Source organism: Homo sapiens, chromosome 19 (genome assembly GCF_000001405.40).
Source record: "Homo sapiens chromosome 19, GRCh38.p14 Primary Assembly".
Taxonomy (NCBI): Eukaryota; Metazoa; Chordata; class Mammalia; order Primates; family Hominidae; genus Homo; species Homo sapiens.
Genome location: NC_000019.10, coordinates 6685615 through 6707995, shown reverse-complemented (window position 1 = coordinate 6707995; position 22381 = coordinate 6685615). Strand labels below are relative to the sequence as shown.

The 22381-nt window shown below is 49.7% G+C and overlaps 1 protein-coding gene across 1 annotated transcript in view, besides 3 other annotated features; it reads left to right on the top strand.

Annotated features, from left to right (window-relative positions):
- Positions 1-22381, top strand: part of C3 (complement C3) — a 42947-nt gene that overhangs the window by 12655 nt on the left and 7911 nt on the right. The window contains exons 15-29 of the mRNA NM_000064.4: positions 67-196; positions 459-530; positions 723-920; positions 5417-5525; positions 5784-5869; positions 10202-10344; positions 10440-10652; positions 11337-11403; positions 11531-11617; positions 13362-13565; positions 14509-14584; positions 14913-15072; positions 17269-17367; positions 21094-21250; positions 21709-21872. Coding sequence (NP_000055.2) covers positions 67-196; positions 459-530; positions 723-920; positions 5417-5525; positions 5784-5869; positions 10202-10344; positions 10440-10652; positions 11337-11403; positions 11531-11617; positions 13362-13565; positions 14509-14584; positions 14913-15072; positions 17269-17367; positions 21094-21250; positions 21709-21872 — 1965 coding nt within the window. The remainder of the gene's footprint in view (positions 1-66; positions 197-458; positions 531-722; positions 921-5416; positions 5526-5783; positions 5870-10201; positions 10345-10439; positions 10653-11336; positions 11404-11530; positions 11618-13361; positions 13566-14508; positions 14585-14912; positions 15073-17268; positions 17368-21093; positions 21251-21708; positions 21873-22381) is intronic.
- Positions 10003-10502: an enhancer, noted in NCBI's record as "H3K4me1 hESC enhancer chr19:6697505-6698004 (GRCh37/hg19 assembly coordinates)". NCBI's record gives its function as "activates a minimal SCP1, AML or CMV promoter by ChIP-STARR-seq in primed H9 embryonic stem cells {active_cell/tissue: H9 hESC(primed)}" and the evidence as "EXISTENCE:reporter gene assay evidence [ECO:0000049][PMID:30033119]".
- Positions 10503-11004: an enhancer, noted in NCBI's record as "H3K4me1 hESC enhancer chr19:6697003-6697504 (GRCh37/hg19 assembly coordinates)". NCBI's record gives its function as "activates a minimal SCP1, AML or CMV promoter by ChIP-STARR-seq in naive H9 embryonic stem cells {active_cell/tissue: H9 hESC(naive)}" and the evidence as "EXISTENCE:reporter gene assay evidence [ECO:0000049][PMID:30033119]".
- Positions 19124-19418: a silencer, noted in NCBI's record as "tiled region #11629; K562 Repressive non-DNase unmatched - State 7:EnhWF". NCBI's record gives its function as "represses a minimal TATA promoter and a strong SV40 promoter by Sharpr-MPRA in K562 cells {active_cell/tissue: K562}" and the evidence as "EXISTENCE:reporter gene assay evidence [ECO:0000049][PMID:27701403]".

Here is a 22381-nt window from a genome sequence, read left to right as displayed (position 1 = left end):
ATATGTGGGGGATCCCAATTGTCAGCCTGGCCTCCCTGCGTCCCGCCACCCCTATGCCCCCCGCAGATCTGGGACGTGGTGGAGAAGGCAGACATCGGCTGCACCCCGGGCAGTGGGAAGGATTACGCCGGTGTCTTCTCCGACGCAGGGCTGACCTTCACGAGCAGCAGTGGCCAGCAGACCGCCCAGAGGGCAGGTGAGGTCGCCACCAGGGGCCGGTGCAGGGACAGACAGCACCTCCACCTCCCAGATGCTGGGAGCAGAGCTCTGGAAACCGGGGGCCTGGGTTCAAGCCCCGCCTCCACCACCACCTAGTAAATCCCTCCCCTCTGAGCCTCAGTTTGCTCTTCCATCAAATGGGAGCAGGAACACCCCCACCTCACACGATCGTGAGGGGTGAACCGAGGACACCTAGTAGGTGCCTCATCCATCTTCTTCTCGGTCCGCCTGCCCTGCAGAACTTCAGTGCCCGCAGCCAGCCGCCCGCCGACGCCGTTCCGTGCAGCTCACGGAGAAGCGAATGGACAAAGGTGGGAGCCTTTCCTACCCACTCCTGCCCCCGAGCCCCACCCCAGGAGACCCCAGCCCGGCCGTGCAGGAGCCAGAGAGGGAGGAGGGGAGGCCCTGGCGGCGGGGAAGTCCTCCCTGGGGTCCGTCCCGCGTCCCTCCTGCTGCCGGCCCCCGGCTGAGGGTGTGGCCTGGGGGAACACGTGCTCCCGCAGTCGGCAAGTACCCCAAGGAGCTGCGCAAGTGCTGCGAGGACGGCATGCGGGAGAACCCCATGAGGTTCTCGTGCCAGCGCCGGACCCGTTTCATCTCCCTGGGCGAGGCGTGCAAGAAGGTCTTCCTGGACTGCTGCAACTACATCACAGAGCTGCGGCGGCAGCACGCGCGGGCCAGCCACCTGGGCCTGGCCAGGAGTAGGTCCCACGGGGTGGGGACAGGGGGAGGGGGCCGTCTGATGGGGGAGGAGACTCCTGTCTGAGGAGGGAGGATGCCCTGTCTGGTGGGGGTGGGGCTGGAGGAGGCCGCTGTCTGAGGGGGGAGGAGGCCCCTGTCTGAGGGGGCAGGAGGTCCCTGTCTCAGGGGGGAGGAGGCCCCTGTCTGAGGAGGGAGGAAACCTCCGTCTGAGGAGGGAGGAGGTCCCTGTCTGAGGAGGGAGGAGGCCTTGAGGGGGGAGGAGGTCCCCGTCTGAGGAGGGAGGAGGCCTCTGTCTGAGGAGAGAGGAGGTACCTGTCTGAGGGGGGAGGAGGCCTCTGTCTGAGGGGGGAGGATGCCCCTGTCTGAGGGGGTAGGAGGAGGCCTCTGTCTCGGGGGGAGGAGTCCCCTGTCTGAGGAGGGAGGAGGCCTCTGTCTGAGGGGGGAGGATGCCGCTGTCTGAGAGGGTAGGAGGAGGCCTCTGTCTGTTGGGAGAGGAGGCCCCTGTCTGAGGGTGATGCCGATGAGGTGATGCCCTGCCAGCGTGAGGTAGAGAAGACCCAGGTCTGAAGAGGGGAGGATCAAGTCAGAGAAGCGTAGATGCCCATCTGAGATGGAGGAGGCTCCCGTCCGAGGGGAGGGGACACTCCTGTCTGGAAGGGACAGAGGCCTTCAGATGAGGAGCCAGGAGGCCCAGGCCTGAGGGAGGAGAAGGGCCTAGTCTGATGGGGAGAAGGGCCCTTGCCTGAAGGCAGAGCAGTTTCCTGCCTGGGAAGGTCATCCCAGCCCCACCCATCAGTCTGAATTGGACATCACCAGTGCCCAGGACATTGGAGGTCTGAGGGAAAAGTCTAGAAAGATGATGGGGCTGGTCACACACTAATTACCAATGGGAAAGCTAAGGTGAGTTCCAAGTTTGGCTTCACCAGAGAAAACTAATTTGTGTGGCATTCCAGAAAGACCTGCCAAACTCGATGAGTGAACAGGCAGCCCTTCTTCATTCATGCATGCATTCAGTTTTTGAATCAGGTGAGACTTTAGATCTCACGTGAAATAAGTCTTAAGTGAAACAAAGAGAAATTTATCTTATAATAAGAGAAAATTGGCCGGGCATGGTGGCTCACACCGGCAATCGCAGCACTTTGGGAGGCCGAGGTGGATGGATCACTTGAGGTCAGGAGTTCAAGACTAGTCTGGCCAACATGGTGAAACCCCGTCTCTACTAAAAATGCAAAAATAGCCTGGCGAGCTGGCAGGCGCCTGTAATCCCAGCTACTCAGGAGGCTGAGGTGGGAGAATCGCTTGAACCTGGTAGGTTTAGGTTGCAGTGAGCTGAGATTGTGCCACTGCACTCCAGCCTGGGCAACAGAGCAAGACTCCGTCTCAAAAACAAAACAAAACAAAACAAAAAAAGAAAGGAAAAAGAAAATTGGCCGGGCACGGTGGCTCACACCTGTAATGCCCACACTTTGCGAGGCCGAGAAGGGTGGATTGCTTGAGTCCAGAAATTTGAGACCAGCCTGGGCAACATGGCAGAACCCCATATCTACAAAAATAAAATAAAATAATTAGCCGGGTGTGGGGGTGCACACCTGTAGTCCCAGCTACTCAGGAGGCTGAGGTGGGAGGATCGTTTGAACCCAGGAGATGGAGGCGTCAATGAGCCAAAATCACACCACCGCACTCCAGCCTGGGCAACAGAGCAAGACCCTGTCTCAAAAAAGAAAAAAAAAAAAAGAGAGAGAAAAGAAAAGAAAATGAAAAGAAAAAATTCAAGCAAATTTAGAATGATCTCCTTCACAAAGAGGCGATAGTGTGAGGGTCACTGGGAAAATTAGACAAAAAGTCTGGTCTACTGAAATATGGTTTACATCCACATGGATGGTGGGCTGTACTTTTCTCCAGAATTGTGTAATTCCTTTGGCCCATTGGGGGTCAGAAAAAGAATGGCTAAATGTTACTATCCCAAGACACTTGGATTGATTATTCCAGAGTGTGAGTAAATTCAGGTATCTCTTTTAGGAATTCCATCTACTTTGGGCTGGGCTTAGTGGCTCACACCTGTGATCCCAGCACTTTGGGAGGCTGAGGCAGCGGGATCGCTTGAGCTCTGGAGTTTGAGAGCAGTCTGGGCAGCGTAGTGAGACTTTGTACGGACGAAAACTTTTTTTTTTTTTTTTGAGATGGAATCTTGCTCTGTCACCCAGGCTGAAGTACAGTGGCACAACCTCGGCTCACCGCAACCTCCACCTCATGGGTTCAAGCGATTCTCCTGCCTCAGCCTCCTGAGTAGCTGAGATTATTATTATTTGTTTTTTTGAGATGGAGTCTCGCTCTGTCACACAGGCTGCAGTACAGTGGTGCAATCTTGGCTCACTACAACCTCCGCCTCCCGTGTTCAAGTGATTCTCCTGCCTCAGCCTCCCAAGTAGCTGGGATTACAGGCACCTGCCACCACACCCAGCTAATTTTTGTATTTTTAGTAGAAAAGAGGTTTCACCGTGTTGGCCAGGCTGGTGTCGAACTCCCAACCTTCGGGGATCTGCCCGCCTCCGCCTCCCAAAGTATTGGGATTACAGGCATGAGCCACTGTGCCTGGCTGAAAAATATTAAAATATATATATTTTTTAAGGGATTCCAGCTACTTTGTTGTTATGGAGATCCAGAACCCAATTAAAGCCTGTCTATCATGTTTGAGGAAAGTGCAGTTTGAGTCAAAGCCTAGTCCAGTCCAATTTCATTTACTTGCTGGTAGTGTCAAGCTGTTTTTGTTTATTTATATATTTATTTAGAGGCAGGATCTTGCTCTTTCGCCCAGGCTGGAGTGCAGTGGTGCGATCACAGCTCACTGCAGCGTCAACCTCTTGGGCTCAAGGAGTCCTTCTGTCTCATCCTCAGCCTTCTGAGTAGCTAGGACTACAGGTGCATGCCAGCATGCCCAGCTAATTTTTAAATTATTATTTGTAGAGAGAGGGTCTCAGTGTGTTGCCCAGGCTGGTCTCAAACTCCTGGGCTCAAGCCATCCTCCCACCTTGGCCTCTCAGAGCGCTGGGATGATAGCACCACATCCAGCCTATCGAGATTTTTTTTGTGTTTTTTTCTTTGTTTTTTGTTTGTTTGTTTGTTTGTTTGAGAGGGAGTCTCGCTCTGTCGCCAGGCTGGAGTGCAGTTGCGCAGTCTCGGCTCACTGTAACCTCCGCCTCCTGGATTCAAGAGATTCTCATCCCTCAGCCTCCCGAGTAGCTGGGATTACAGGCGCATGCCATCACACCCAGCTAATTTTTGTATTAGGTGGTTTTTAAAGGCCACCGCTTCTTCAGTGTTCTGCACCAGGTCTGGGAATGTTCTCAGCTCACCTAGTCATGTTCAGAATGGACAAATCCCTCAGAGGAAGCAGACACGGTTTCTCGGGACGGTGATCCTTTAGAGCCACATGCACATGCTTGCTTTCTTTTATTATTATCTTTTTTTGAGATGGAGTCTCACTCCGTCACCGAGGCTGGAGTGCAGTGGCATAATCTTGGCTCACTACAACCTCTGCCTCCCGGGTTCAAGCGATTCTCCTGCCTCAGCCTCCCGAGTATCTGGGACTACAGGTGCCCGCTGCCAAGCCTGGCTAATTTTCATATTTTTAGTAGAGGCGCGGTTTTGCCACATTGGCCAGGCTGTCTCGAACTCCTGACCTCAAGTGATCCACCCGCCTCGGCCTCCCAAAGTGCTGGAATTACAGATGTGAGCCACTGTGCCTGGCCAAATGCTTTCGTTTCTTTAAAAATCAAAGGGAAAGGAATGACTATAATCCAGTCTGCATTGTATATGTCCTTATACCAGTACATTTGTGGGATATAATTTTTAGTTCTTTTTATGGAGAAGAAGTTCCCAAGGCAGATGTGTCTGGGGCTCGTGAAAATTCATCCTGAAGTCCTCCATGTCCGGGATGTATTTCACTGCTAGGAATCCCTCCTGGGCAGAGGTAGGATCTAAAGGTGTGACCGCTGAGGAAGTAGGTCGGCTCTCTTTTTGTTTGTTTTTTGTTTTTGTTTTCAGATGGAGTCTGTCTCTGTCGCCTGGGCTGGAGTGTAGTCGTGTGATCTCAGCTCACTGCAACCTCCACCTCCTGGGTTCAAGTGATTCTGCTGCCTCAGCCTCCACAGTAGCTGGGATCACAGGCACGCGCCACCACACCCAGCTAATTTTTGTGTTTTTAGTAGAGATGGGGTTTCACCATGTTGTCCAGGCTGGTCTCAAAGTCCTGACCTCAAGCGATCCACCCACCTCAGCCTCCCAAAGTGCTGGGATTACAGGGGTGAGCCACCGTGCCCAGCCTTAATTTTTGTATTTTTAGTAGAGATGGGTTTCACCATGTTAGCTAGGCTGGTCTCCAACTCCTGGCCTCAAGTGATCCACCTGCCTTGGCCTCCCTAAGTGCTGGGATTTCAGGCATGAGCCATGGCAACTGGCCTGCTCTGTTCTAAATGCAGATCTAAACCCCCTGCAGGTAACCTGGATGAGGACATCATTGCAGAAGAGAACATCGTTTCCCGAAGTGAGTTCCCAGAGAGCTGGCTGTGGAACGTTGAGGACTTGAAAGAGCCACCGAAAAATGGGTAAGGCCGGGGTACCCCCGGTACAACCCACCCCAGAGTCAGACCGTTTAATTTGCATGCACCTGCTATCTCTGGTCTTCTCTGGAATCACAGTGCAACCCCACAGCCCAACCTAGAAAAATCAGGAATTGGGTGACCTACATGGAGGCACCCCCAGACCCTTCCAGCCTGTCCCTTGGGGTCCCTCTGCACCAGTTCTTCCCCTCTACCACCCTGCTAGATGACATCTCCTAATACCCCAACCTCTTCTCCATCCAGAATCTCTACGAAGCTCATGAATATATTTTTGAAAGACTCCATCACCACGTGGGAGATTCTGGCTGTGAGCATGTCGGACAAGAAAGGTGAGAGAGGATGCTGGCTGGTCCCCGGGAGGCAGGGACCCCAGGGTGTCTGAGTGTCATCTCATTTTATCCAAACTCAATCAACCCTATGTTTCTTGGCACTTTATTCTCTGCCCTGGTTACCACAGAGGTGTTGTTACCAGGAACTGTGGGAATCCTTAGTTCCTGTCTAACTTGGAAGAAAGAATTCAGCCAAGAGTCACATAGCAAGGGTTAAGTAGCAGAGTTTATTGAAGGAAGAAACAGCTCTGGGCTGGTCCCCCTGGAAAAATAGTAGTAGCAATGCTTATTTAAAGAGACAGGGCCAGCCTCGATGGCTCACACCTATAATCCCAGCACTTTGGGAGGCTGAGGCAGGGGAATCACTTCAGGTCAGGAGTTCAAGACCAGCCTGGTCAACGTGGTGAAACCCCGTCTCTACTGAAAGTACAAAACAATTAGCCAGGCAGGGGGTGGCGGGCGCCTATAATCCCAGCTACTCGGGAGGCTGAGGCAGGAGATTTGGTTGAACCCGGGAGGTGGAGGTTGCGGTGAGCTGAGATTGTGCCACTGCACTCCAGCCTGGGCAACAAGAGCAAAACTCCTTCTCTAAATAAATAAAAAGTGACCGTATGCTCTGAAAGACGACACAGACATGGCTGCTCAACAGAACGAGCCAGCAGCAGATACTGCTGGTAGACTCTTTTTATGAGACTCTTACATGATTTTTCGTGAAGGGGCGTGAGTGGGTGTCACTTGTAAGCATGTTTTGGGAGGTCTCTTTGGGCGAGCAGGCTCTGTGGCTGTAGGTACTAGCATGCACGTGGCATGTCTCATTAGCATCGAAAATCTCCACCCAGAGGTGTGTTTTTTACTATGATAATGAGCAAAACACAACTCTAGGGTGTTTTCGGAGCAGTGCACATGCTCATCATCGGGGAAAATCCCTAGCAAAGTTATTTCCAGCTAGGACCTGATAAGTCCCCTTCAGGGCCAGAGGACCCCAACCACAAGGCCATGTGTAGCTAAAGTAGCCATCGTCCTTTTCGCTGACTGCCAGTGAGCAGCGCTGTCAGTAGGCAGCCTGTCTGGGACTTCTTTTCCCAGAAAGCTCCCCTGCCTGCTCATTTCCGCCTATCTGCCTACTCTAACAGTGTCAAAAGCTAGACAGGGTGGGGGTACAGTCTCTAAAATTGATGCTTTTCTTTCTTTCTTTTGTTTTTGAGAAGGAGTCTCACTCGGTCATCCAGCCATAATTTATATGGTTTATTATAATTTATAATAAATTTAATTATAATATTTATTTATATATTTATTAATTGTAATGTTTATAATTATAATATATAATTATATATTACATAATATATTTCATATCTACATATCACATATTACATATGCAATATATTATATACCACATATTACATATATAACATACCACATATTACATATATAATATATCATATATTATATATTACATATATAATATATCATATATTATATATTACATATATAATATATCATATATTATATATTACATATATAATATATCATATATTATATATTACATATATAATATATCATATATTACATATATTATATATTACATATATAATATATCATATTACATATATTATATATTACATATATAATATATCATATTACATATATTATATATTACATATATAACATATATATTACATATATCATATTACATATATCATATATTACATATATAATATATCATATTACATATATATCATATATTACATATATAATATATCATATTACATATATATCATATATTACATATTACATGTAATATGTTATATTACATATAATATATATTGCATATCACATATATAATATGTTATATGTTGCATATTACATATATAATATATTATATATTGTATATTACATATATAATATATATGTAATATATACATATTACACATGTAATATATTATGTAAACATATAATATGTATTATAATTTATAAGAAATTTAATTATAATATAATTTAATGAATTATAATAAACCATAATTCATTATAATTTAATACATTATAATAAACCATAATTTATTATAATTTAATTTTGTTGTAATGTATAATTATAATTTACTACTAATATGTCATTTGTTATTGTTGACATGTTAACATATATAATGTATATTTTATTAGATATATAATATAAATGATGTATCATTTATTATTGATTACATATCTATAATTATACCATATCATAACTTATTACAAAACATTCTATTTAATTTAAATATACCCAAAATAGTATCATTTCAACATTTTGTAAAAAGTTGCAAAACCACAACCCACTAATAATGTGACTATAACCTTTTAATATTTGATAATAATCTACTAGTATATCAAAATTACTGATGATATATTTTACTTCTGTTTGCACTAAGTCTTCAAAATCCAGCATGTGTTTTACAATTCAGTGCATCTCATTTAGGATACTAGATTTTCTTTCTTTTTTTTTTTTGATACAGGAGCTTGCTCTGTCACCTAGGATGGAGTGCAGTGGTGTAAACAGGATGCTAAGTTTTCTTTTTTTAGTAGAGACAGGGTGTCACCATGTTGGCCAGGCTGGTCTCAAACTCCTGGCCTCAAGCAATCTGCCTTCCTCAGCCTCCCAGAGTGCTGGAATTACAGGCGTGAGCCACCGCGCCCAGCGCAGGATGCTAGGTTTTCACTGGAAATACTTTGATCTGTATTTTAGGTTTCATAAAATTTACAGTTGAAAAGGTAGATTCTCAGGCCGGGTGCAAAGGCTCAAGCCTGTAATCCCATTACTTTCAGAGGCTGAGGCCGGCAAATCATTTGAGGTCGGAGTTTGAGACCAGCCTGGGCAACATGGCAAAGCCCCGTCTCTACAAAAAAAAAAAAGAAAAGAAAAGAAAAGAGAAAGAAAAGGTAGATCCTCATACTCAAGTAGTTGCAAAAATACTTAAACGTTTTCCACTCAATCATCATTTTTAAAAAATTAAGATTTAATTCACTTACTATATGTCACCCTTTTAAAATGTACAACTCAGGTCGGGCACGGTGGCTCACACCTGTAATCCCAGCACTTTGGGAGGCCCAGGCAGGCAGATCACCTGAGGTCAGGAGGTGGAGAACAGCCTGGCCAACATGGTGAAACCCTGTCTCTACTAAAAATACAAAAAATTAGCAGGACATGCGGGTGGGTGCCTGTAATCCCAGCTACTCAGGAGGCTGAGGCAGGAGAATTGCTTGAACCCAGGATATAGAGGTTGTAGTGAGCCAAGATCACGCCACTGCACTCCAGCCTGGGTGACAGAGCGAGACCCCATCTCAAAAAATAAATAAATAAAAAATAATAAAATATATAATTCAGTGGTGTTTCATATATTTAAAATGAGCATCAGTTGTTTGTTTTGTTTCATTGGGTTTGGTTTTACAGACAGGATCTCACTCTGTTGCCCAGGCTGGAGCACAGTGGTGCGATCATAGCTCACTGCAGCCTTGAACTCCTGGGCTCAAGCAATCCTCCTGCCTCAGCCTCCCAAAGTGCTGTGATTACAGGCATGAGCCACCGCACCTAGCTAGATCATCAGGTTTAAAGTTTAAGTCTGAATTAAATTAAATACATTTAAATACAAGTACATCAAATAAAAGTACAAATCCAGTTTCTCACTCAGGCAAACCCCATTTCAAGTGCTCAGCGCTCCCCCACAGCTTGGGGCTACCATATCAGACAAGCAGATATATTTTGGAGATTTCTCTTCCTCCCTACACGTAGATCTCTGAGTCAAACTACAAACAGAATGTAAATCATTAAATAGTGGTAACTCCGGCCAGGCGCAGTGGCTCACGCCTGTAATCTCAGCACTTGGGAGGCTGAGGCGGGTGGATCGTGAGGTCAAGAGATCGAGACCATCCTGGCCAACATGGTGAAACCCCATCTCTACTAAATATACAAAAATTAGCTGGACATGGTGGTGCGTGCCTGCAGTCCCAGCTACTCGAGAGGCTGAGGCAGGAGAATTGCTTGAACCCAGGAGGCGGAGGTTGCGTTGAGCCGAGATGGCGCCACTGCACTCCAGCCTGGCGACAGAGTCTTGCTCTGTCTCAAATAATTAATAATAATAATAATAATAATAATAATAATAATAATAAATAATGGTAACTCCCAGCCACCACCATCATCATCTGTCATTTGTCGCCATTGACAGCGTTTAGTTCACAGGCTTCAGCAAAGACAGGCTGAGTTAGGGAGAGCTCCTGCGGAGTGGACTAAGAGCTGAGACCCAGGAGCCTGGCCTTGTCCACTCCCCGACCTTGACACTCCGTGTTCTGTCTCTGCCCGAGCAGGGATCTGTGTGGCAGACCCCTTCGAGGTCACAGTAATGCAGGACTTCTTCATCGACCTGCGGCTACCCTACTCTGTTGTTCGAAACGAGCAGGTGGAAATCCGAGCCGTTCTCTACAATTACCGGCAGAACCAAGAGCTCAAGGTGGGTCCCGGGGTGGCAGAGGCTTCTTGGAGGCTGCCAGGGGGTAGGTAGCCTGTTGCACACACACTTGCCCGGATCCTTTCTCTCCCTGGCAGGTGAGGGTGGAACTACTCCACAATCCAGCCTTCTGCAGCCTGGCCACCACCAAGAGGCGTCACCAGCAGACCGTAACCATCCCCCCCAAGTCCTCGTTGTCCGTTCCATATGTCATCGTGCCGCTAAAGACCGGCCTGCAGGAAGTGGAAGTCAAGGCTGCTGTCTACCATCATTTCATCAGTGACGGTGTCAGGAAGTCCCTGAAGGTCGTGGTGAGTGCTTGGGGCACCCACAAACCCTTGTCCTTCAGAGAGGGCTCCTGGTCTTCGTACTATTGACTCAGGTTGGAGATCCAGGCTCTGAGACACTAAGAATCATAGTGTCCAGCTTAGGAAATTTGGAAGTCCCAGAATTTCAGAAGCAGAGCCAGGATTGGGGTAAAGTGAGTGAGATGACCCCAGGCTTAGAATTTTAGGTGGTGCCAAAAACCTCGTCGACCATCACCAATCAATAATTTTTTTATACTCGATTTGAAATTTTTTATTTATTTATTTATTTGTTTGTTTATTTTTTTGAGACAGAGTCTCACTCTGTTCCCCAGGCTGGAGTGCAGTGGCGCGATCTCAGCTCACTGCAATATCCGCCTCCCGGGTTCACGCCATCCTCCTGCCTCAGCCTCCCGAGTAGCTGGGACTACAGGCGCCAGCCACCACGCCCGGCTAATTTTTTTGTATTTTTAGTAGAGACAGGGTTTCACTGTGTTAGCCAGGATGGTCTCGATCTTCTGACCTCGTGATCCACCCACCTCGGCCTCCCAAAGTGCTAGGATCACAGGCACGAGCCACCGCGCCCGGCAATGCTAGGGTGATCCTAAGGACAGTGCCCTGCTGACCATCTGTGTGTCTGTCTGTTCTTTTATTCATCCAACGACTCCCCCCACCTCTAACACTGCGTAGCCGGAAGGAATCAGAATGAACAAAACTGTGGCTGTTCGCACCCTGGATCCAGAACGCCTGGGCCGTGGTGAGTCGGCTGCAGGGGGAGGGGCTGAGGGGCTGGCAGGGTAAGGGGGGTAAATGACCTGGGTTTAGTGAGGTAGGATAGGGCGGGAGGGAGCTAGAGCCATCGGTATCTCTCACTCACCCTGCAGAAGGAGTGCAGAAAGAGGACATCCCACCTGCAGACCTCAGTGACCAAGTCCCGGACACCGAGTCTGAGACCAGAATTCTCCTGCAAGGTGAGACACCCTTGACCCCGACCCCATGGGTCCCAGGAGGGCATGGATGGAGCCAAATTCCATCTCATTCTGGAGGTGTTTAACCCGCACCTTTCTCTTCCCCTTCAGCTAGAACAGCCCATCTGTGATCTGTTTTCCCTCTTTTACATTTTTTTTTTTTTTTTTTTTTGAGACAGAGTCTGGCTCTGTCACCCAGGCTGGAGTGCAGTGGCGCGACCTCAGCTCGCTGCAAGCTCCGCCTCCCGGGTTCACGCCATTCTCCTGCCTCAGCCTCCCGAGTAGCTGGGACTACAGCCACCCGCCACCACGCCCGGCTAATTTTTTTGTATTTTTAGTAGAGACAGGGTTTCACCGTGTTAGCCAGGATGGTCTCGATCTCCTGACCTCGTGATCCACCCGCCTCAGCCTCCCAAAGTGCTGGGATTACAGGCATGAGCCATTATGCCCGGCCTAAAAATTTTTTTAACCATACAGATATTATTTGCTATGATCGGTTTTATAGAAGCCTCCAGATAGCATTTAGTTCAGCAAAGAGCTTTCGCTGATACATCAGTTTATTTTAATTTTTCTAGACCTTCTGTGCTTCTTAGATGGGAAACCAGCTTAAATGAGACTCAATAGCCTGTAATCCCAGCACTTTGGGAGGCCGAGGCAGGCAGACCACCTGAGGTAGGAGTTTGAGACCAGCCTGGCCAACATGGTGAAACCCTGTCTCTACTAAAAATACAAAAGTTAGCTGGGCGTGGTGGCACATGCCTGTAATCCCAGCCACTCGGGAGGCTGAAGCAGGATAATCGATTGAACGTGGGAGGCGTAGGTTGCAGTAAGCCGAGATCAGGCCACTGCACTCCAGCCTGGGCGGCAGAGCAAGACTTTGTCTCAAACAAAAACAAACAAACAAACAAACAAAAAGACAAGCAACATAGTACAAGAGCAGAAATTCTGGAGGTCATTTCTTGCCCCAGGAGGGAAGACTGGAGAAAGAAAGGGACTTGCAACCTGTAAGCTATAAGGCTTTGGGGCAAGAGCCTTGGTTTTTTCACCTTTGGTAGGGGTAGAATAATAGTATCTACCTCCAAGGGTTGGTGTGATGATTTTTTTTTTTTTTTTGAGGCGGAGTCTCACTCTGTCGCCAGGCTAGAGTGCAGTGGCGTGATCTCGGCTCACTGCAACCCCAGCCTCCCGGGTTCAAGTGATTCTTGTGCCTCAGCCTCCCAAGTAGCTGGGACTACAGGCGCCCGCCACCATGCCCACTAATTTTTGTATTTTTAGTAGAGACGGTGTTTCACCATATTGGTCAGGCTGGTCTTGAACTCCTGACCTCAGGTGATCCACCCACCCCAGCCTCCCAAAGTGCTGAGATTACAGGCTTCAGCCACGGCGCCCAGCCTCGTTGACTATTAAGTGAGACACTCTATGGTATTCTCTTAGAACAGTCTGGAAAGTAACATTAAGCGTGATATAAGTATTCCTGAATATTGTTACTGGAATTATTTTACTGCTGGTGAAATGAGACCCAAGGACCAGGGTGCCCCTGTGAAGCACCTCCCACTCCTAACAGTGCAGACCCCCGAACAGCCACTCAGCCATGCAGCCTCCCCTCCCCGCAGTCACATCCTCCCCAGTCCTCGCCTGTCCCTAACCCCTTGGCCCTGGCTGGTTGGGAGGCTGGAACCCTTTTCACGCCACCCCAAGGTGGGTCACCCACCTGGCTTGAGCAACGTCCTCTTCCCACCTGCTGCAGGGACCCCAGTGGCCCAGATGACAGAGGATGCCGTCGACGCGGAACGGCTGAAGCACCTCATTGTGACCCCCTCGGGCTGCGGGGAACAGAACATGATCGGCATGACGCCCACGGTCATCGCTGTGCATTACCTGGATGAAACGGAGCAGTGGGAGAAGTTCGGCCTAGAGAAGCGGCAGGGGGCCTTGGAGCTCATCAAGAAGGGTGGGCTCCCTGCCCCTCTTGGAGACCCCAGGGACCCCTTTCCGAGCGCATCCCTCCCCTAAGATCCCACCTCATCTCAAGACCACGCCCTCCCCTGAGGCTCCACCTTCTCTCCTAGCCACTCCCCTCATTTGAGGCCCCACCTCTTCTCAAGGCTACGCCCTCTGAGGCCCTGACTCCTCCCAGGCCAGGCTTTTCATGAGACCCCGCCTCTCCTCAAGGCCATGCCCATCCCCTGAGGGCCCCCCACCTCTTCTCAAGGCCACGCCCTCTGAGGCCCTGACTCCTCCCAGGCCAGGCTCTTCATGAGACCCCGCCTCTCCTCAAGGCCATGCCCATCCCCTGAGGGCCCCCCACCTCTTCTCAAGGCCACGCCCTCTGAGGCCCTGACTCCTCCCAGGCCAGGCTCTTCATGAGACCCCGCCTCTCCTCAAGGCCATGCCCATCCCCTGAGGGCCTCCCACCTCTTCTCAAGGCCACGCCCTCTGAGGCCCTGACTCCTCCCAGGCCAGAATCTCGAGACCCTGCCTCTTTTCAAGGCCACGCCCATCCCCTGGGTCCCCACATCTTCTCAAGGCCACACCCTTCTGTGAGGCGCCACCTCCTGTCCCAGCCACTCTCATCTGAGGCCCCACGTCCTCTCCAGGCCATGCCTCTTCCCTGAGACTCCACCCCCTCTCTGAGAGCCCTCCCCTCCCTGAAAGCCCCCCACCCTCAATATCCTTCTCCTCTCTGAATCCCTTGTCCTCTTGAGAACTTTTCCACCTCCTCGTTCTGATCCCCCACCCTCTTTGAGTCCTTCCCTTTTTAAGGTCCCCTCCTCCCAGAACCCCTCCGCCACCCTGAGCCCCTGTCCCCTCTCTGCACCCCGCCCCTGCCCTTTCTGGCGTGCCCCCTCTGCTCAGCCCCGGCTCTTTTGGGGGTTCCTCTCTCTTCTCTGCAGGGTACACCCAGCAGCTGGCCTTCAGACAACCCAGCTCTGCCTTTGCGGCCTTCGTGAAACGGGCACCCAGCACCTGGTGAGTCCCAACAGCCAGCTCAGGCCATGCATACTCCCCACCCTCAACCCCCAGCAGGGCCCGGACCCTGGCCAGGGGTGGTCCCTTAGGCCAGCCTTGCCCAAACAGCCCTGGACCTGCAGAGTCCAGGCAAGCGCTGGCTGAGTGGCCGGCGGTCATTAAGCATCCTTAAGCACGGACCGCATACAACAGCTGGGTCCTGGGGCCTGGGAAGGCAAACCAGGCAAACTGGGCCAGGCCCTGGTCCCTCCCCCACGCTCATTGGCTGGTTGACATGGCAGTCTCTGGATCTCAGAGCCGATTGGCTCATGCTCTGTGCCCACTCCAGGCTGACCGCCTACGTGGTCAAGGTCTTCTCTCTGGCTGTCAACCTCATCGCCATCGACTCCCAAGTCCTCTGCGGGGCTGTTAAATGGCTGATCCTGGAGAAGCAGAAGCCCGACGGGGTCTTCCAGGAGGATGCGCCCGTGATACACCAAGAAATGATTGTAAGAGGCTGGGATTTAGGGCAAAATGGAAGAGAGGGGCTCCTGAGTCTCGCAGGATGAACACGAGAGAGAGCCCCACCTCCATGTGCCCACTGCCCAATTCCCTTTGCAAAGATTGGGCTGGGGGGTGGGGGCAGGCAGATATATGAGCCAGAGGCGTCACTCCAGCATTGCAAAAACCAGAGACCTGCGAAGCCCAGCGCAAAATGAAGAGACACGGCCCCTCGCTCAGAAATTATTAAGAATTTCATTAAACCAAGTGCAGGGGTCCTGCCTGGGAATCCCTTTCTCACATTCAATCCATCAACACCTGCATTCTCCCATGATGTTATAAGAATCACCTCCTTCTCTCCATCCTTATGGCCAGCCCCTGGTCCAAGCAACACTCTCCCCGCCCCTCCTTATTTGGAGACCTTGTAGAAACCACCTCCTGGTCATCATCCTGGTGGCCTCCCACTTTTGTTGGCTCTCAGACACTCACCACATAGCAGTTGGGGTGATTTTTTCAAATCCAGCTGGATCAGTTCTTAGAAAGTCCCGTGGCTCCCCCTGTGGCACTTAAACACAAAACTCCTTCGAGCACTGGTTCTCGAAGTGTGATCCTCAGACCAGCGGCAGCAACAGCACCCATGACTTACTAAAAATGTGCATTCTGTGGCTGGGCTCGACGGCCCATGCCTGTAATCCCAGCGCTTTGGGAGGCCGAGGCAGGAGGATGGCTTGAGCCCAGGAGGTCGAGGCTGCAGTGAGCCATGATCATGACACTGCACTCCAGGCTGATAACAGAGTGAGACCCTGTCTCAAAAACAAAACATATTCTGAGACCGGACCCCAGACTCACTGAATCAGAAATTCTAGGGGCAGGACCCAGGAATCTGAGGGGTGTGAGTGTGTGTGTGTGTGTGTGTGTGTGTGTGTGTGTGTGTGTGTGTGTTTGAGATGGAGTTTTGCTCTTGTCACCCAGGCTGGAGTGCAATGGCCCGATCTTGGCTCACTGCAACCTCCACCTCCCAGGTTCAAGCAATTCTCCTACCTCAACCTCCTCAGTAGCTGGGATTACAGGTGCCCGCTCCACCATGCCCAGCTGATTTTTGTATTTTTAGTAGAGACGGGGTTTCACCATGTTGGCCAGGCTGGTCTTGAACTCCTGACCTCAGGTGATCCGCCCACCTTGGCCTCCCAAAGTGCTGGGATTACAGGCATGAGCCACCGCGCCCGGCCTAGGAATCTGAGTTTTTAAAAGTGCCCGCATTCCTCCAGGTGATGCTAATGTGTGCTTGAGATGGAGAATCACTGCCTCAGTCTCACCTTTCAGGCTTCCAGACTTCCAGCCTTTCTTTTCTTTCCAGGCTCCATCCATTGATAGGAGCCTTGCTCTATTGTTCTACAGGGCCTTTGCACATGCTGTTTCTGCCACCTAGTATGCTAATCCCTGCCGTCTGTGAGAGTTGACTCCCTCAGGGACACTTTTTCTGACCTCCCCAACTGGGTCACACTCCCACAGTTCATTATCGCTGCGATGTCCTCTTTCCCTTGCACAGAACTCATCCACTTATAAGTATATATCTCTTGGCTGGGCGCAGTGGCTCATGCCTGTAATCCCAGCACTGTGGGAGGCCGAGGCAGGTGGATCACCTGAGGTCAGGAGTTCGGGACCAGCCTGACCAACAGGGGAAACCCCATCTCTACTAAATACAAAAAAATTAGCTTGGTGTGGTGGTGCATGCTTGTAATCCCAGCTACTTCGGAGGCTGAGGCAGGAGAATTGCTTGAATCCAGGAGGCGGAGGTTGCAGGGAGTCGAGATTGCGCCATTGCACTCCAGCCTGGGCAACAAGAGCAAAACTGTCCCAAAAAAAAAAAAAAAAAGTGTATATCTCTTGAGGAGCTGGATGGACCATGTCCATCTTCCCTACTAGACAAAAGCTCTGTGAGGGCTAGAGCCTGTGTCTGGTTTTACAATGGATCAGACCGTTGTACCCATTGTACATTGCACATTGTACATTGACATTTGCAGAAGGAACAAATTGTTGCATGAATTAATACTAAGAAGTTTGACCTTCCTAGGGTAGCGGGGTAACACCTAGAAGAGACTCAGCCCTGCCCAGACCCCCTGATTCTGAATCTGCAAGGGGGGATGACTGCCATGTGTGGACACACCGGTGACCCCATCCTTGCTTTCTGCTCTCTATCTCAGGGTGGATTACGGAACAACAACGAGAAAGACATGGCCCTCACGGCCTTTGTTCTCATCTCGCTGCAGGAGGCTAAAGATATTTGCGAGGAGCAGGTCAACGTAAGTGCCCTCCATCTTCCCACCCTACCCTACCTTACCCGATGCAGAGCACAGCCACCTTGGAGAGTGAGAGGTTGCCTTCAGGGAATTTGCAGCTCTCCCAGTGCAATAACAGACATCACTGCAGTCATGTTAATAGCTAACATCTTTTGAGCACTTAACTCATCTAATACAGACCCGCCCTCTAATAGTTTCACATGTTAAGTCTCATAATCCTTTTAGCAGCCTGAAAGGTAAGTCACTCTTATTATCCCCAGTTTGCAGATGAGAAAACTGAGGCACAAAGAGATCAAAGGTGGGGATTCTTTCTGTCTGCCTTACAATTTTCAGAGGGTTTTCAGCCCATTTCCAAAAGTGCTTTCTACATCAGTGCTACATGATCAGTACAGTTGCGTACTTGCTACTTCCTTAAAGAAAACTTGGGATACAGAGCTAAGACTATTTCCTTAGTCCAGAGGATCTTTCAGGTGATTTTCAAAGGGATCCGTGACTCCAAACAGGAAACGGTGAACACTGTTGGCTCATCACTGTCTCTTTTTCCTCTGGTTTTGATTCTGAAGCAGGGAAGCTTGGAAAGATGGGCCGCTGAGAGTCTGGAATGCCTTTGTCTGCTTTATTGTGGTTGTTTGTTTGTTTGTTTATTTTTTGTGATGGAGTCTCACTCTGTCGCCCAGGCTGCAATGCAGTGGCATGATCTCAGCTCACTGCACCCTTTGCCTCCCAGGTTCAAGGGACTTTACTGTTTCAGCCTCCAGAGCATCTGGGATTACAGGCACCCGCCACCATACCCGGCTAATTTTTGTCTTTTTAGTAGACATGAGGTTTCACCATATTGGCCAGGCTGGTCTCGAACTCCTGACCTCAGGTGATCTGCCTGGCGTGGCCTCCCAAAGTGCTGGGATTACAGGCATGAGCCACTGCACCCAGCCTAATTGTTGTATTTTTAGTAGAGATGGGGTTTCACCATGTTGGCCAGGCTGGTTTCGAACTCCTGACCTCAAGTGATCCACCCACCTTAGCCTCCCAAAGTGCTCGGATTACAGGCGTGAGTCACTGCACCTAGCTGATCGTGGGGTTTTGAGTGGGTTGTTTAACGTTTAGCTTTCCAAGTGGGAAGCCCAGGATTCCACCCTCAGCTAGTGGCTTCTCCCCCCTTAGGAAAAGAGATGGAGGGGAGGGGCCAGTGAAGAGAAAAACAAACACAGGGCTGTTGCCTCTAACACCCAAGAGGGACCAAGGCAGAGAGAGAGAGAGAGAGAGAGAGAGAGGGAGGGAGGGAGGGAGGGAGGGAGGGAGGGAGGTAGGTAGAGAGAGAGAGAGAGAGAGAGAGGAGAGGTGGGGTCAGACAAATCTGACTTCAAATCCTGACTCATGGGCACTTCCACCCTTGAGCCTCACTCAGGATGTGCATCTGTAAATTGGGGATAATAAATAACGATCTCTGTATTTTTAGGCCTCTGAGTTGTCCCAGATATAACACACATGTGACCCAGATTATACAAAAATTGATGGGGAATTTATGTGCAGGCACCAAGGCATCAAATAGAGATGAAGGTGGCCTCAGGGACTCTGCCAGGATGCTTTGCTCCTCTCTCCCGTGATCTTCATTCCGTTCTTGGCCAATAATTCAGTTCAGGCAGAATATGGCTGCCTTCCTTAGAGAAAATATCAGATCAAGGTTAGGGCCGCCATATTCCCAGGAAAGGACTCTGATTGGCTCAGCCTGGGTCAGATGACTATATCTGGACCAATCAGCTAAGGACAGGAAGTAGGTCTCAGGGGGCAGACATGGCTGTTTCCACTGTGGCCACGTGAATGGAAGGGAGAAGAAGTTCTTACAAAAGGAGTGGATGTCAGAGAGGCAAATGGGCAGGAATAAAAGAGATTTGTTTCTGCTACAACATAGCAACATTGTAGCAGAGTATAGCACAGGCTGTGAAACCAGACTCCTGGGGTCAAGAGTGTGCTGTAATCCCAACTACTCAAGATGCTGAGGCAGGAGAATCACTTGAACCAGGGAGGTGGAGGTTGCAGTGAGCCGAGATTGCGCCACTGCACTCCAGCCTGGGCAACACAGCAAGACTCCTTTTCAAAAAAAAAAAAAGTGTGCTATAACTAGCTTGCTGGAGCCCAGTGTTAAATTTCCAGGAATTTTTCAAGCTGGTCATTAAATACAATTATTATTAAAAACTAAATATTAGGCCAGGCACAGTGAGCCTGTAATCCCGGCACTTTGGGAAGCCAAGGCCGGCAGATCACCTGAGGTCAGGAGTTCAAAACCACCCTGGCCAACATGGCAAAACCCCGTCTCTACTAAAAATACAAAAATTAGCCGGGCATGGTGGAGGGGGGCGCCTGTAATCCCAGCTACGCAGGAGGCTAAGGCACAAGAATCGCTTGAACCCGGGAGGCGGAGGTTGCAGTGAGCCGAGATTGCGCCATGCACTCCAGCCTGGGCCAGAGCGAGACTCCGTCTCAAAAAAAAGGCCAGGCGCGGTGGCTCACGCCTGTAATCCCAGCACTTTGGGAGGCCGAGGTGGGCGGATCACGAGGTCAGGAGATCGAGACCACGGTGAAACCCCGTCTCTACTAAAAATACAAAAAATTAGCCGGGCGCGGTGGCGGACGCCTGTAGTCCCAGCTACTGGGAAGGCTGAGGCAGGAGAATCACTTGAACCCGAGAGGCGGAGCTTGCAGTGAGCCGAGATCGCGCCACTGCACTCCAGCGTGGGCGACAGAGCAAGACTCCGTCTCAAAAAAAAAAAAAAGCAACAACAAAAAACCCAACCAACCAACCAAACAAACAAAGTTATAAAAGTTACAGTTAAATAAATTATATTAAACACAAAGGTTAGAAACACTCAAACTCATCGCTTCCTAAACGCCTTACTCCCATAATCTATACTCTTGGGGTTACTTATGTCTGTTGGATCTGTATAGTGAAAATACTATATAATACTGTGGTACTGCAAAGCTCTTCCCAACTCTACATTCAACGACACCATATTGGTAGGTTGAAATCAGTGATGGAAGTATTTACATCATGGAAATGAGAAAACAGTACAAATCATGTCTTCCCCCATCCCCAGAAGGCTGTGTTTGGATCCTAACTCTGCCACTTATTTCCTAGGTGGTCTTTGCAAAATTACTGCATCTCTCAGGGCTCAGTATGCTCATCAGGTTTTATGAGATTAAATGTGTGGGTATCTGAATGACACAAAGTAAGTGTGAGCTATGATGATGAAGAAGATAAAGATGATGATGACGATGATGATGATGACTGGATGAGGTGTTCACAGTGGTATACTGAATCTGGCGCATACTAGTTTATGAGTAACAATTTGGAGAATGTCTCCCCAGGACTTTGTTCAGTGATGTCGCATTGACACCGTGAAATTGGCCCCTGGTGGGAGTATTTACACCACAGAAATTGTAAATCATTATAAACCAAGGATCCCTCAACCCTCCCACTGGAGAGCTGGCTGTTAAACTTTTACCAGCACACCACGGGGTACGTGGATTTCTCCAGATACATAATAGATATGCAGCAACAAGGCAGCTCATGGTGGCTAAAATATCTGGGAAATTCTCAAAAATGGACAAATCTAAGACAGGTGTGTCCCAAGGACAGAAATCCCTGATGCTCAGGAAGTGCTGCTCGAATGATCCTTACTAACGTGACAGCAATGCCCACATGACCGGAGAATCTGATCCTCTTTCTCATAGAGCCTGCCAGGCAGCATCACTAAAGCAGGAGACTTCCTTGAAGCCAACTACATGAACCTACAGAGATCCTACACTGTGGCCATTGCTGGCTATGCTCTGGCCCAGATGGGCAGGCTGAAGGGGCCTCTTCTTAACAAATTTCTGACCACAGCCAAAGGTGAGGGTTGGCCTGGAGGGGTGAAGGGAGATGCATGGCTGAAGTTCAGGGCGGGAGATACTGAGCTGGGATGCATGGCTTTTAGCTGAGCTGGGACAGATGACCCTAAGCCAAGCTGAGATGGATAGTCCTAAGGTATCAAGCTGGGATGCATAACCCTGAGCTGAGCTGGGATGCACGGCTCTAAGTTTTCGCAGGTCCTCATTGTAAACCACACGAGAAAGTTTGTTGCGTCATTTATTCAACAAATGCGTATTAAGCATTCATTTCAAAGGGAGAAGTGAGAGTTGATGAAACAAGAGAGGTAAGGCAGGAGCCAAGTAATTGAGAGCCTCGAATGTCAGCCAGGACACCCAAACACCAGGAAGTCTAGCATGCATCTCTTTCTGAGCTTTCTCTGAGCCATCCCCAGGCTGGACAGAGCAGTGAGCACTGGGGATGGGGTATCTTCTTTGCAGATAAGAACCGCTGGGAGGACCCTGGTAAGCAGCTCTACAACGTGGAGGCCACATCCTATGCCCTCTTGGCCCTACTGCAGCTAAAAGACTTTGACTTTGTGCCTCCCGTCGTGCGTTGGCTCAATGAACAGAGATACTACGGTGGTGGCTATGGCTCTACCCAGGCAAGTGGGCCCACAGCCCCTAGGCACATGCATCCCTGTCTCCTGCGGCTTCCCACTGGCCTCCTAGAGAAGACACTGAGGCCCAGCGAGGCAGTTCTTCATTCCCACGAGCCAGTGTGATTGCAGTGGAGTTGAGAATCAGTTTTTATTACTTGCAAACCCATCTATAGGTTCTAGAATACAATCTGGGTACTCCAAGCTGTGTGTTGAGCCTTCTTCTTGCCCCAGGTGTCTAGATCATGTTCTCAGGGCCCAGGTTCAGGTCTAAGCCTCTCTCTCCACCTGGTGGGCTCTAGACCAGGTTCCCAGTTCTATCTCACAATCTTACCCTGTCTTGCTGGTGGGTTCTAGACCATGTTCCCAGTTCTACCAGGCTCCCAATGTCACATTGCCTCACTGGCGGGCTCTATAGTATGTTCCCAGTTACCCTGGGGCATTACGCAAACCCTCTTCTAGGCCATGGTTTCAGTAACTTCAGGCTTCAGCAACTTCAGGCTCCAGTTGGCCTC